Source organism: Homo sapiens, chromosome 2, assembly GCF_000001405.40.
Source record: "Homo sapiens chromosome 2, GRCh38.p14 Primary Assembly".
NCBI lineage: Eukaryota > Metazoa > Chordata > Mammalia > Primates > Hominidae > Homo > Homo sapiens.
In genome coordinates, this window is record NC_000002.12 from 233,145,663 (window position 1) to 233,158,956 (window position 13,294).

The 13,294-nt window shown below is 48.5% G+C and overlaps 1 protein-coding gene across 4 annotated transcripts in view; it reads left to right on the forward strand.

Annotated features, from left to right (window-relative positions):
• INPP5D (inositol polyphosphate-5-phosphatase D) overlaps positions 1-13,294 on the forward strand; it is a 147,562-nt gene that overhangs the window by 85,321 nt on the left and 48,947 nt on the right. For all 4 annotated transcript variants that reach the window (NM_001017915.3, XM_047444219.1, NM_005541.5 and 1 more), the window contains exons 7-10: positions 500-580; positions 705-776; positions 1,809-1,932; positions 12,651-12,757. In NM_001017915.3, the coding sequence (NP_001017915.1) occupies positions 500-580; positions 705-776; positions 1,809-1,932; positions 12,651-12,757 (384 nt within the window). The remainder of the gene's footprint in view (positions 1-499; positions 581-704; positions 777-1,808; positions 1,933-12,650; positions 12,758-13,294) is intronic.

Below are 13,294 nucleotides of genomic sequence, written 5' to 3' on the forward strand. Positions count from 1 at the left end.
GATGAGAGTGGCTCAGATCTTGGTGGGGCGGGTGAGGTGGGGGGCTGCATCATATAGGACCTCGGAGGGCAGGGAAGGGGTCGGGATCATTTTCTCCTCTACGTGGAGAAGAACTGTACTGGGGTTTCAAGCAGCAGGGCTGGGTCTATTTTGGAAGTAGGACGGGAACACCATGCAGCAGGTGTAGGAGGGAGGAAAGGTAACATGCAAGGACAGTCCTCGAGTTTTGTTTAAGCAACGGAGTGGGTGAGGTGAGAAGCACCGGGGGAGAGGCAGATTTACAGGGAAGAAGAAATGAAGATCTATTTTTTGGCCATGTGAATTCTGAGAAGATTGTAGAGATCCCTGTGTCCTCATCTGCCAGAAGGGGATAATAATAGAACTTGTGGGGCTGCGGGGAGGCTGGAATGGGGTGAGGTGCAGAGAGAACCCAGAGCATTGCCTCTCGATGGTTCAGGTTCAGTGATGCTGCCCTGATCCTCTTTCCCTCCTCTCCCAGGTTCCTGGTGAGGCCAATCCCATCAACATGGTGTCCAAGCTCAGCCAACTGACAAGCCTGTTGTCGTCCATTGAAGACAAGGTACGTGTGGGGCTCCTGCGGCTTCTCTTGGTCTCCTCTTTGGTCCCCTCTTTGCATGGAGAATGCCCAGATGCACAGGCTCGGCGTCCCCTTGACCCTCTGTCTCTAACGCTGCTGCCCACAGGTCAAGGCCTTGCTGCACGAGGGTCCTGAGTCTCCGCACCGGCCCTCCCTTATCCCTCCAGTCACCTTTGAGGTAAGTGGCCATGGGACAGCAGAGCCTGGGCTTGGGCTCCACAGCTGGGCAGAGAGACATGTTCTTGTTCCTGTGGAAAGAGGGATTGGGGCTTTAGCTGGGGAAGAGCAGGGAGCGCATTAGCCAAGAATGGCAGTCAGTTGACCTTTGTCGCTGTGATGGCGGTTCAACGTCAGAACGGGCACCCAGAGACAACTGGGAAATCCCCTTCGGAGGGAAGCTACAAGGGAGGAGTGTCTCATTGGGCCAGGCACCATGTAAACTTTGTCCTTCTCAAAATGGCAGAGATGAGTGACATCAGACGGGGCTGCAAAGTACTGCCTCAAGGGGGTGGGGAATTCAGAAAAAAAATCGTGCGATTCCTGTGATTTCCATGAGAATGACTGGATTAGAATCTCCAGGCTTGACCCAAAATGCGTTCTTCTTTACAATCCCCAGAGATTCTAGTATATTCACCCCAGCACTGGTCCCAAATTCAGGAATCCAGTGTGAGACCCGCACCCCCTCCGCCACACACACATTCCCCACCCCAAAGTCCGTTCTAGACCTGGTGATTATCCTCTATTAAGATAAATTTCCATTTTCTGAGCATGCCTACGCAACTGTTGTGGGTTTTCTTTTCTATTATTATCAGTAAATGTTCAATCAGTGGTTGTAACAAGGCCTGGGAGTTTAAATCTGTTACTAAAATCCTTTCTGGAAGTAGGTGACACATCAGATTAATGAGTGTTGTCAAAGTCATCAGTGAATGAACCATTTCCAGCAATTCGTCTGTTTCCGCCAGCAAACCTGTTGGCAGAACGGCTCCCCCACACACAGTGGACGAGGGGGATGCCCCTAGAGTCTCTGTGATTCCCGGGAGACGCCTGTGGAAACATGCACGTGCGCCGCTGGGGCAAGAGAAGCCCAGTGGCCCCACGAAGGACGCACACCAGAGGTTGCCCAGCCATGTAGACAAGGGGTTCGGGCGGGGGAAGCCTTGCAAAAGCCCAGGCAGAAAATCAATCAGTGACACATCTCTTCTCTTCTAAGGTGAAGGCAGAGTCTCTGGGGATTCCTCAGAAAATGCAGCTCAAAGTCGACGTTGAGTCTGGGAAACTGATCATTAAGAAGTCCAAGGATGGTTCTGAGGACAAGTTCTACAGCCACAAGAAAAGTAAGACCCCTCGTGCCTATCAACCACTGCCCCTCACCTGCCTGTGGAATTCCTGCCCTCTCAGCTCACCTCTCAGAAGGCCTGCCCTGCAGGTCTGTCTTCCGCACGCATGCGCGCCTGCGCTCATGCTTTTGTGTGTGTGTGTGTCTCTTCTCTTCCCCACCAAGACCCAGTGTGATCCATGCTATCACCTCTCAGTGCCGGGCACAAAGCCTTGCACAGATGAGGTCTTGTTGACAATTGGGTAGTGTCTGTAGCACAGGATAAACTAAACTGTGAGTACATGGACTCTGGAACCAAACTGCCTAAATTCACGTCCCAGCTCTGCCACTTAGCAGCTGTGTGACCTGGGACATGTCATGACCTCTCTAGCCCTCAGTTTCCTCATCTGTAAAATGGGGATGATAAAAATTATGTGAATAATATGCTCAAGGCTCTTTAGGCTAGAGCCCAGCATGTAGTGGCCACTTTGAGAGTCAGCTGTTATTAGTAGATTCTGAGAACCATCAAATCAACTCATCCATAAAATGGAAGCTCTTCACACAACAAATGCATATAGAGAAGCTGCAGTGGGGCAAGACAAGGGGATCCAGGGCCAGCAGGGCAGATGAGGCCCCTGCCCACATGGAATTTATATTCTGGTGCATTGAGTAGCCGATAGAGACTCAAATACATCTGTCAATACAGATGAATGATCAGATGGATGATCCAGCTATGAAAAGCGCTACAAAGAAAACAAAACAGGGCAAAGGGGTAGAGGTTAACTGGCAAGAGGGGATAGTGTAGAAAGGGCAGACATGGAAGTTTCCTCTGAGTAAGAGGCACATTGGCGGAGACCCCGAGGCTGAGAAGCAACCAGTCGGGCAGGGGTCTGAGGGAAGAGCATCCCAGCTAGCAGAGCAGCATGTGCAAACGCTGGGAGATGGGCACTGGGGCCCAGGTTAGGGAGGCCAGGCAGGGTGTCAGGAGGCAGGGGGGTAGGCAATGCCCAGTGCGGGGCCACATGGGGCTGGAGAACAGCAGCAGACAGGACCAGAGGGCTGACGAAAGCATGAGAGTTTCCTGAGCAGCCTCTCGTTCTGGCTGATGGCGAATGGACATCTTTCTTCATCTGGGTGGCCAATGGGTTCCCCCGAGAAACCTGATCAATGCGTAGACCCTTGCCTCAGATAAATCCCAACCTTCACACAACAGTTTGCATCCCATGTCAGGTTTTAAGACCACTATGAAGCCCCCCAAGTCTCTGTGGCTACAACACTTTTTTTTATTCTTTAGTGTCTCAAAGTTCATTTAGAGGGCATGGTTAAGGTTGCCACAATTAGCAGATAAAAATACAGGAGGCCCAGTAAAATTTGAATTTCAGATAAACAACCGATATACTATATGTATGTCCCATGCAATATTTGGGACATACTTATATGCAACAATGATTCACAGTTTTTCTGAAGTTCAAATTTAACTGGGTCTCCTGTATTTTATCTGGCTTCTTCAGGCATGATCAGCACCTTTTTTTTTTTTTTTTTTTTTGAGACAAAGTCTCGCTCTATCACCCAGACTGGAGTGCAGTGCCACGATCTTGGCTCACTGCAACCTCCGCCTCCTGGGTTCAAGTGATTCTTCTGCCTCAGCTTCCCGAGTAGCTGGGACTACAGGACCACCACCACGCCCAGCTATTTTTTTATTTTTAGTAAAGACAGGGTTTCACCATGTTGGTCAGTGTGGTCTCGAACTCCTGACCACAAGTGATCCACCCGCCTTGGCTTCCTAAAGTGCTGGGATTACAGGCATGAACCACTGTGCTCAGCCATCTTTTGTTCTTAATAAAGTCGTATGCACTAAGTATGGGGAACTGGGAGGACCTTGGCAGGGCCTGTGCATTCAGAGTCCTCTCTGTCCCTGTGTCCTTGGAGACAGGATGCTCTGTCCCCCAGGTATAGGGAGGGCTCCTCTCATATGAGGCTCTATAACCTGCTTTAGAGGAATGTCAGAGGGTCCTTCCTGCACCTGCCATTGCTCAAATTCCTTCAGCTGAAAATATTCAACATGCTTAGGATGCCATATTTTGCAATAGTGCATCCTGAACCCCACTGATAGCACAGTGGGGTGCAAGTAGCCCAGTCTTGAGTCCCAGGTCAGCCACTTGTGACTTGGGTCTGGTGCCTTTTCTCTGGTCCTCAGTTTACTCTTCTGTCCAGCAGGGATAGTAGCAGCATCTTGCAGGGCTCTCATGAGTCTTATGTGGGTGAACATCAAAGCAACTGGTGCCCAACCTCCAGGGAGTGCTCAATATCATTGACTGTCACCACCACCACCACCATTATTATTACCCTTCCAGGGTAGCCGTGAGGGAGGCTGATCTCAGGGAATGGCTGGGGGTGACATCATAGCTGTCATAGTCCTGCAGAGGGGAGCTCATAGCATCATGGTGGCCCCTGTGTATAGTGGCAAGTTGGGCAGGAGAAATGGGGAGTCACTGATGATTTGAACAGAAAGGCTGTGTGGAAAGTGAGCTTAGAGTGATGGTTTCCTCTTATCTGTTGATATGATTTGGCTGTGTCCCCACCCAAATCTCATCTTGAACTGTAGCTCCCATAATCCCCACTTGTCATGGGAAGGACCGGGTGGGGAGGTAATTAAATCACTGGGATGAGTTTTTCCCATGCTGTTCTCATGGTAGTGAATAAATCTCATGAGATCTGATGGTTTTATAAAGGGTAGTTCCCCTGCACAAGCTCTCTTGCCTGCCACCATGTAAGACGTGACTTTGCTCCTCCTTTGCTTCTGCTATGATTGTGAGGCCTCCCCAGCCATGTGGAACTGTGAGTCCATTAAAACTCTTTCCTTTATAAATTACCCAGTCTTGGGTATGTCTTTATTAGCAGCGTGAGAACAGACTAATACATCTGTTAAGGAGAGAGGGGTGGCCCCAACTTGGATAAGAGGAGATGGAAACGTTAAGATGAGTGAAGACTGTCAGAGCACCTGATTACTAAAAAACTTAAGATTGAAAGAAACACCTCCCAGGGTTCTCAGAAGTGCTGTGAACTTTTGTCGGTTTAATGCAACAGATATTTGCGTAGCATCTTCTATGGGCCAGCCCTTCATCGTGAACGCTTCCTCTAAGGATTTGCTGTGGAGAAGGGAACGCTGGCACATGGGCAGGTATTAGAATGTGCTCCAGAGGGAGGTTAGTCCCGAGGGAGGACTGGTTAGCTCTTTTGGGGAGTGAGGGCAGGAGACTTCACACCACCGAGGTGGCTCTGACCGGGATTTGAAGGATGAATAGGATTTTGCCAAGCATGAGGCAGGGGAGGGCACTGGTACTGAGAGAATGGGGTGTGCAGGGAACGGGACAGGGGGTTAGTGAAATCACACATTACATGTTGCTCATCTCTCACTGTGGTTCTGGAGAGAGAAGCCGCTGGGCACGCCATCCTAGGTGTGAACAGAGCCTAGAATGCCCAAGTAAGGATTGGAGCTGTTGTTGCTGAGAAGTTGGTATTCTCCTTTGTGGAAACAGATCAGGGATGGGTGAAAGAGCTAAACTAGAGATCACTGGCCCTAAGAAAATCCAGCTCTAGTTAAGAATGGGCTATGCATGGGTGCAGTGGTACGCACCTGTATTCTTAGCTACTTGGGAGGCTGAAGTGGGAGGATCACTTGGAGCCAGGAGTTTGAGTTCACCCTGAGCAACACAGCAAGACTCCATCTCTAAAAATTAATAATAATAATAATAACAATAATAGGCTATTTCAGAGCAGGTTTGTGAGCCCTGAAGAGCATGGGTGCCCACAGACTGCCAGCCCACTCTCCGGGAATGTGCCCACCTAGCTCCAGTCCTCCCGTCAATCCAGGATGGTGGAGCCTGACTTCCTCTCTGTGGTGACACCTGTCACATCAGAGCACAATTGACTCCTCACAAATTCCCTCCCCCTAAAAAGGGCAAGGTCTTTCCTTTACACACCCTGGACTCTGCAGGCCCCAGCTCGGGCCCTGGGGCTCAGCAAGTGCGTGCTCAGGGATTGCCAATTGCCTGAGGCACTTGCAATGTCATCCATCATAAATCCCAGTTCTGTCTCCCCTCTTTAATGTGGGCTTCACAAAGGCTGGGATGTGGATTTTTTCGTTGTTGTTAACCACTAAATCCCAGAGCCAAAACAGTGCTTAGCACAGAGTAAGTGATCAGTAAATGCATATTGAGAGAACGCATGCATGAATCAGTGAATGAATGCAAGAATGAAGGAACGCACACAGGAATAAGAATGAATGTAATAATGAATGAATGCACACATGAATGAGAGAATGAAGGCAAGAATGAATGAATCTATGCATGAGTGAGCAAATGTGTCCTAAACCAGGTAAGATCATACAGTTCTCATGGATGCATGTTTAAGTGGCTTCTTTACAGTTGGTGCTGAGAGGCAGTGTGGTTCAAGAGTGGGTGCTCTAGGTAAACCGGATGCATGTGTTGGTTCCATGACTTGCTAATAGTATGATCTCAAGTAAGCTACTTAACTCCTCAAAGCCTCAATGATGCCTCCACAAGACAGGGGTTCCTACAGGGGTTGTTGTGAGAGTTAATGGGGTAAGGTGTGTCCTTAGTGCGGAGTCTGGCTCATGGTGAGTTTCCATCCATGGTTATTATGACAGAGCGGTGCTCGCCTGGAGGGAATCTGTGGTTGCAAGAGTTGGAGCTTCCTTACCCTATTTTAATCACCATGTTCATGAATAGCTTTGGCATCATGGTCTTCTACACATAGGAACAGCCAGTTGCTGTATGTTCAAATCATAAAATATTCATGCTCCGAGCACCTGCTATGCAGGTACCAGGCTTTGGGATGCGAAGGTGAACCAGCCAGCCGGGATCCTAGCTTTCAGGAAAGTTTCATTCAAATCAGGGCAAAGGAGAAAATAAACAAACACACAAATATACAAACCAGGAATGTGTCAGGGAATGATAAACTCTAGACCTGGGGATTTAAATAGAAAAATATGACAGTAATGGGGAAAAGCCTTTCTGTGGACATGCTGTGCCATTTGAACCGAGACCTGAGTGTCAGGAAGATGCTGGCTGTGCCCAACCCAGGGAAAGAGGCAACTGGGCTCAGTCCCAAGGCAGGAACAAGTATGGCGTGTGAGACGGCTGGGCGGCCAGGACTCAGACAAGGCTGAGGCTGGACAGGGGCCAGGCATGTGGGCTTGCTGAGCCAGAGTACCAGCTCACGTTTCCTTCCAAATGCAGCAAGCCACTATTAGGAGGTTTTCAGCTGGGGGGGGTGTGGTGTGATTCCACTTCAAAAAGATAACTCTGGCTGCTGTACTGAGAATAAACTATGGGAAGAGAGGAAGAGTGGAGACAGGGACACCAATTAGGAGGCCATGATAGCAGTCAGGCAAGAGGCGGTGGCAGCTGGAGATGGGAAAAGGTGAACGGGGTGGGAACGTTTCAAAGGTAGACCAGCCAGCACCTGCTGATCGATACCATGTAACAGGACGAGGGAAACGGAACTTCTAGTGTTATTTCACTGGGCGTGGGGAAGGTGGGGCGCTGACTGACTCTGATGGAATAATAACCCTGATCAAACAAGATATCACATCCTGGGGGCAACCGCACAGTCCTGCGAACAGATGGCAAGGAAATTCAGGGGAAGGAGACATGGCCTGATCGTAGCAGACTGGAAAAGTCTCAGCATTTGGTTAGCAGTGGTAGAAATCGGACTGTGGGATGCTTACTGAGGTGCAGACGAGGCTGATGTCATTTCCCTTTGGGGAGGCTTCCAGCTCAAAGTGATGGTTAAATGCATGCTCTGCCATCAGTTCCCTTCCGGAAGGCAAAACCCACAGGGAAAGAGAGAATGGGAGAGCAACAATATTCTGAAAGCCGGAAAGGAGATGGATAGCGAGAGTCACTTGTAGGAACCAAAAAACGAAACCCTAAGCAGGTGGAAGAAAAAACAGAGACACTGACTCACACAAAACCCACAAAGGGCTCAGGAACTGAGAGCCTTGGGGACCCCAAGAAGTGGGGTGAAGGTGGGGTTATACACAGCAGGGTCAGATGGAAGTCTATTTAAAGACAGTTCAGCCCAACAGATCACACTCCACTCCATGTAGCCAGTGGCTCCTCCTCACTCCTTTGGCAGAAGATTGGATATTCTTTGGAGAAGGTGAAGGGCTGGGAGATGCCAGGCCTGCTGCAGGCAGGAGAGCCTACTGAAAACAGAGGACTAAGGGACAGTCACTTGCTGAGTGCTGAGACCCCAGCCTTCTTCCCTGCCCAGCTCCCAGGATGCTGCTGGCCAGCCCCACCCTCCCTAGGCAGGAGTTAGAAGTCTTCTCTGGGAAACTTGATCAGCCCAGGGGCAAAGATGGAAAGGTGTTGCCATCACGCAGTTTCCCCAGGATTCAGCCCATCAGACCACCCTGCGGAGAAGCCCTGCTCGACAGACCCCACCTCACTGTTGGACACAGACAGCCAAGGATCACCAGACACTGGAGGGAAGCTGGGGACAGGAAACAGGGGACACAAAGACAAAACACTTGGAGGGATCAAATTCTTTTTGTTTTTTTTGAGACAGAGTTTCACTCTTGTGGCCCAGGCTGGAGTGCAATGGCGCGATCTCAGCTCGCAGCAACCTCCACCTCCTGGGTTCAGGCGATTCTCGTGCCTCAGCCTCCCAGGTAGCTGGGACTATAGGCATGCACCACCATGCCCGGCTAATTTTTGTATTTTTAGTAGAAATGAGGTTTCACCATGCTGGCCAGGCTGGTCTCAAACTCCTGAGCTCAGATGATCTGCCTGCCTTGGCCTCCCAAAGTGCTGGTGTTCCTGGACCAAACTGAGGGTCAGGCTGCTATTTCTTGTGGCCCAATAACAAGATGCACATGAACTGGGGAGGAAGACAGGTTTTATTTTCTGTAACTGGTTACAGGAAGAAGGCCTGGAAATTATCACCAGACCAACTCAAAATTACAAAGTTTTCCAGAGCTTATATACCTTCTAATCTGTATGTCTACGTGTGTGTATTCATTGAAAGATATAAGTGATTAACTTCTTTTAATTTATAACTAAGGTCTGAGTCCTGAAGACCTTCCTTTGGAGCCTCAGTAAATTTACTTCATCTAAATGGGTCCAGGTGCTGGTGTGATTACCCTTATCTTGTCTTCTGCTAAATCACGGAGGTTTGGGGAGTTCCTTCAGACCTCCAATAAACTTGTTAAATCCTAAACTGGTCCTGTTAAGAATTCCTTCGCCTAGGCAAAACTTCTGATGGGCTTTTGTTACATTCCAGCCTTTGTATAAGGGCACTGGCTTTTGATATTTAACTTAACCACTCAGTCAGTACTGAAACCGTTGTCACGGAGGCCTGAATTAGTGAGACCTGGCCTGCCACACCGGGATTACAGGCGTGAGCCACTGCACCCAGCCTTGGAGAGATCAGATTCTACAGATAAAAAGAAATGGGCCTGTGGAATAACAGAATTATATCTAGAAAGGAACAGTAAGAGAATAAAATGAAAGTGAAAAAGGATGAGGAGAAAGAGAGAAGGGGGAAGAAGGGGAAAGGGAAAGGAAGGACAACTCTGGGGCAATAAAAAATATTATAGCAGTAATTAAAAAAAATAAGAACCCAATGGAAGAGTGGAAAGATACAGTTTAGAAAAGCTCCGAAAAGGCAAAACAAAAGGACAAAGTGATGGAAAATAGGAGAGGCAAGATTTTTACAATTTAAAAGACCAGATCAGGGCTGGGTGCAGTGGCTCACGCCTGTAATCCCAGCGCTTTGGGAGGCCAAGGCAGGTGGAACACTTGAGGTCAGGAGTTCAAGACCAGCCTGGCCAACATGGTAAAACCCCACCTCTACTAAAAATACAAAATTAGATGGGCATGGTGGTGCACGCCTGTGATCCCAGCTACTCGGGAGGCTGAGGCAGGAGAATTGCTTGAACCCAGGAGGCAGAGGTTGCGGTGAGCCAAGATCCACGACTGCACTCCAGCCTGGGTGATGGAGCGAGACTCCATCTCAAAAAATAAATAAATAAATAAATAAATAAATAAATAAATAATAAATAAATAAGACGAGTTCAGGAGGCCCAATATCAAAATAATAAGTGTCAGTAAGAGAAAACAGATTGAGAAAATTTATTAAAGAATTCAGGAAAGAGTCTCAGAACAGAATAACACTTGCCTCCATGTTGAAAATGGCCAAGTGCTCACACAACACAGGAGGCCCACACAACCCTGGAAAGTCTCACAATGCTGGACTCCAAGAAAAGATCCTAAAAATGTTCAGAGCAAAAGATAGATTACGCCCTGTGTCAGGGGCCCCACAAGACCACCCCCAGGTTCTGTGATTCCCTCAGAGAACCCACAAGACCCAGTGGATGATCATATTCCCAGCTGTGATTTATTACATTGAAAGGATATAGAGCAAAATCAGCTGAGGGAAAAGACACATGCATAGGATGAAGTCTGGAAGAAACCAGGCACGAGCTTCTAAGAGTCTGAGCCTGAGACCTGAGTGTCAGGAAGATGCTGGCTGTGCCCAAACCAGGGAAAGGGGCCACTGGGCATAGTTCCAAGACAGGAGCCAGTGTGGCTGGTGAGATGGCCAGATGGCTGTGGCTCAGACAAGGCCAAGACTGGGCAGGGGCCAGGTGTGTGGGTCTGCTGAGCCAGAGTGCCAGGTTCACACTTCCTTCTTTTTTTATTTGAGATGGAGTCTCACTCTGTCGCCAGGCTGGAGTGCAGTGACACGATCTTGGCTCACTGCAACCTCCGCCTCCCAGGTTCAAGCAATTCTCCTGCCTCAGCCTCCTGAGTGGCTGGGACTACAGGTGCCCGCCACCACGCCTGGCTAATTTTTTGTTTTGTATTTTAGTAGAGACAGGGTTTCACCATGTTGCCCAGGCTGGTCTCAAACTCCTGAGCTCAGGCAATCTGCCTGCCTCAGCCTCCCAAAGTGCTAGGATTACAGGCATGAGCCACCGCGCCTGGCCCACGCTTCCTTCTAAGTACAGCGAGCCACCATTAGGAGTGGCTCCACTCTTCTGTGGAGTCACAAAGGACACACTTCCCTCCTCCCCCAGTGAGGTGTGACAACATGTGTGAAATGTGGTTGTTAACTGGCGAATGGTCACATAGACACCCTCTACCTGGCAGGTACCCAGATTACAGACTCCCAAAAGGAAAACAGGTGCTCAGCATAAACCATATTGTTTGTACAAACAATGTAGGCACAGCAAGCCACTCATCAGCTCTGGGAGTGGTGGGAGCCCTCCCGAAATCTAAGTTCCCAGATGACAGCAGAAAGCCAGCCTTTCAAGCAAGCCCTTCTAAGGACAGCAGTCTCGGGTCTGTTGTGCTAACTCTTTTCTGAACAAGAGAATCAGAATGACATTGTTTCTCCAGCAATCCTGAAAACTAGAGATGATGGAACAAGGTTCCAGAGTCCGGAGGAGAATTATTTCAAATTTAGAGTTCTGTCAGTTAAGTGTGAGGGTCGAATTCTCAGACACGCAAGGCCTCTAAAAATGTATCACCGATTCTTCCTTTCTTGGAAAGCCACTAGAGATGCTGCTCTACCAAAATGAGGGTGTAAACCAAGAAGAGGAAGACCTGGGGTCCAAGAAATGGGATTTAATACGAGAGAGAGAAACGTATTCCTGGATTATGAAGTAAGGCCCCAAGGTAAAGGCTGTGCCTCGGCCCTTGAAGTCACCAGTCCAGAGAAGACCCAGAAGCTCTGGGAAAGGCTCCCTCAGGACAAAGGAACTGATGAAAGTAGTTGGTCACATGGAAAAGAGAGTTATAAACTGGGGAAGAATTAGAAACAATAAAAAAAAAAAGTATGGCAATTACTAACTCCAGGAATAACACAAAGTTGTCTAGAAAAAGAGAAACATTCAGGGCTGGTCTGTCAATAGCATTTTGATAATCAGAATAACAAACACTGAGTACTTATCTGGCCAAAATTATGATATAATTGTTAGAAGGATGATGTGGGGACTGAAATTATGCATTGGCAGGGAGTCAAGTTGGGGGAGCAGGTTGTGTGTGTGAAAGAAATTTCAACCTCATCTTCCATAGTGGACAGTCAAAAATGTAATAGGACATAATGAAAACTGAAACATCGGAAAGTATTAATCTAAGCATTTTTTTTTTTTAAGAAACAGAGTAGAATTCCAAAAGAATCCATTAAGAGAGTTGAAATTGGTTGCCTGTAGGGAGCTGGACATTGAAGAGAGGTTGGGTTGTGGAGGACTATTGTTTGCAAAAACCTTATAGAACAACTTGACTCTTTTAATTGTTGATGACAGTAAAATGTAAAATTAAATTTAGATATAAATTAAAAACAAAGCAAAAGAAGGAAAGGAGGAAGAGTAAGGAAGAAAGGAGGGAGGGAGAAGAGGAGGAAGAAGAGGAGAAGGAAGAAGAGAGAGGGGAAGGAGGGAGGCAGGGAGAAAGATGAAAAGACGATCACGCTGTCTCTGCTCTGGACAGGCCAACTCTTGCTTGTTCCAGACATCACCCTCCCCAAGCATGAGCCTCTCTTGGGAAGAGCAGCTGGAAGCAGAGGGAGCTGGGAGACCAGACACAAACTCGGGGCTCAGCTTGGGGACGGGAGTTGATAGTCAGGTGCCTGGAACATAATGGAGACCGTCCATATTGGTTGAATGAGTGGATGAATGAATTAATGAATTTCTTTTCTCTTAAGTCCTGCAGCTCATTAAGTCACAGAAATTTCTGAATAAGTTGGTGATCTTGGTGGAAACAGAGAAGGAGAAGATCCTGCGGAAGGAATATGTTTTTGCTGACTCCAAAGTAAGTGACAGCAAACTTCTAAAATGGGCTGTGAGGTAGGGAGGGGACACAAGCGTTTTGAGGCTCGCTGTGTGCCAGGGAGTGTATCATTAGCTCACTCAGTTCCCAGAACAACCCATTTCACACCTGGGAAAGGTGAACTTAGAGAAGTTGAGGATCATGTTCCAGGTTGGCCTGGATTTGAGCCATCACTGTCTCAGGAGTAGGGAGGCTTCCCACTTTGCCCAGCTGCCTCCCAGCCTCGAGGCCACATCCTTTATGACCCACATCTAACTCAGCCCCACACCTGGGGGAAAGGCTTTCAGCTTCTCTGGGCTGGACTTGGGAAATCTTTGGGACACTCCTGGATTGATTGATTGATTGATTGACTGACTGACTTGAGACAGCGTCTCGCTTTACCATCTAGGCTAGTGCAGTGGCGTGATCACAGCTCACGGCAGCCTCCACCTCCTGGGCTCAAGGGATCCCCCCACCCACCTCAGCTGAGGTGAGACAAGTAGCTGAGACCACAGACACACACCACCAGCTAATTTTTTA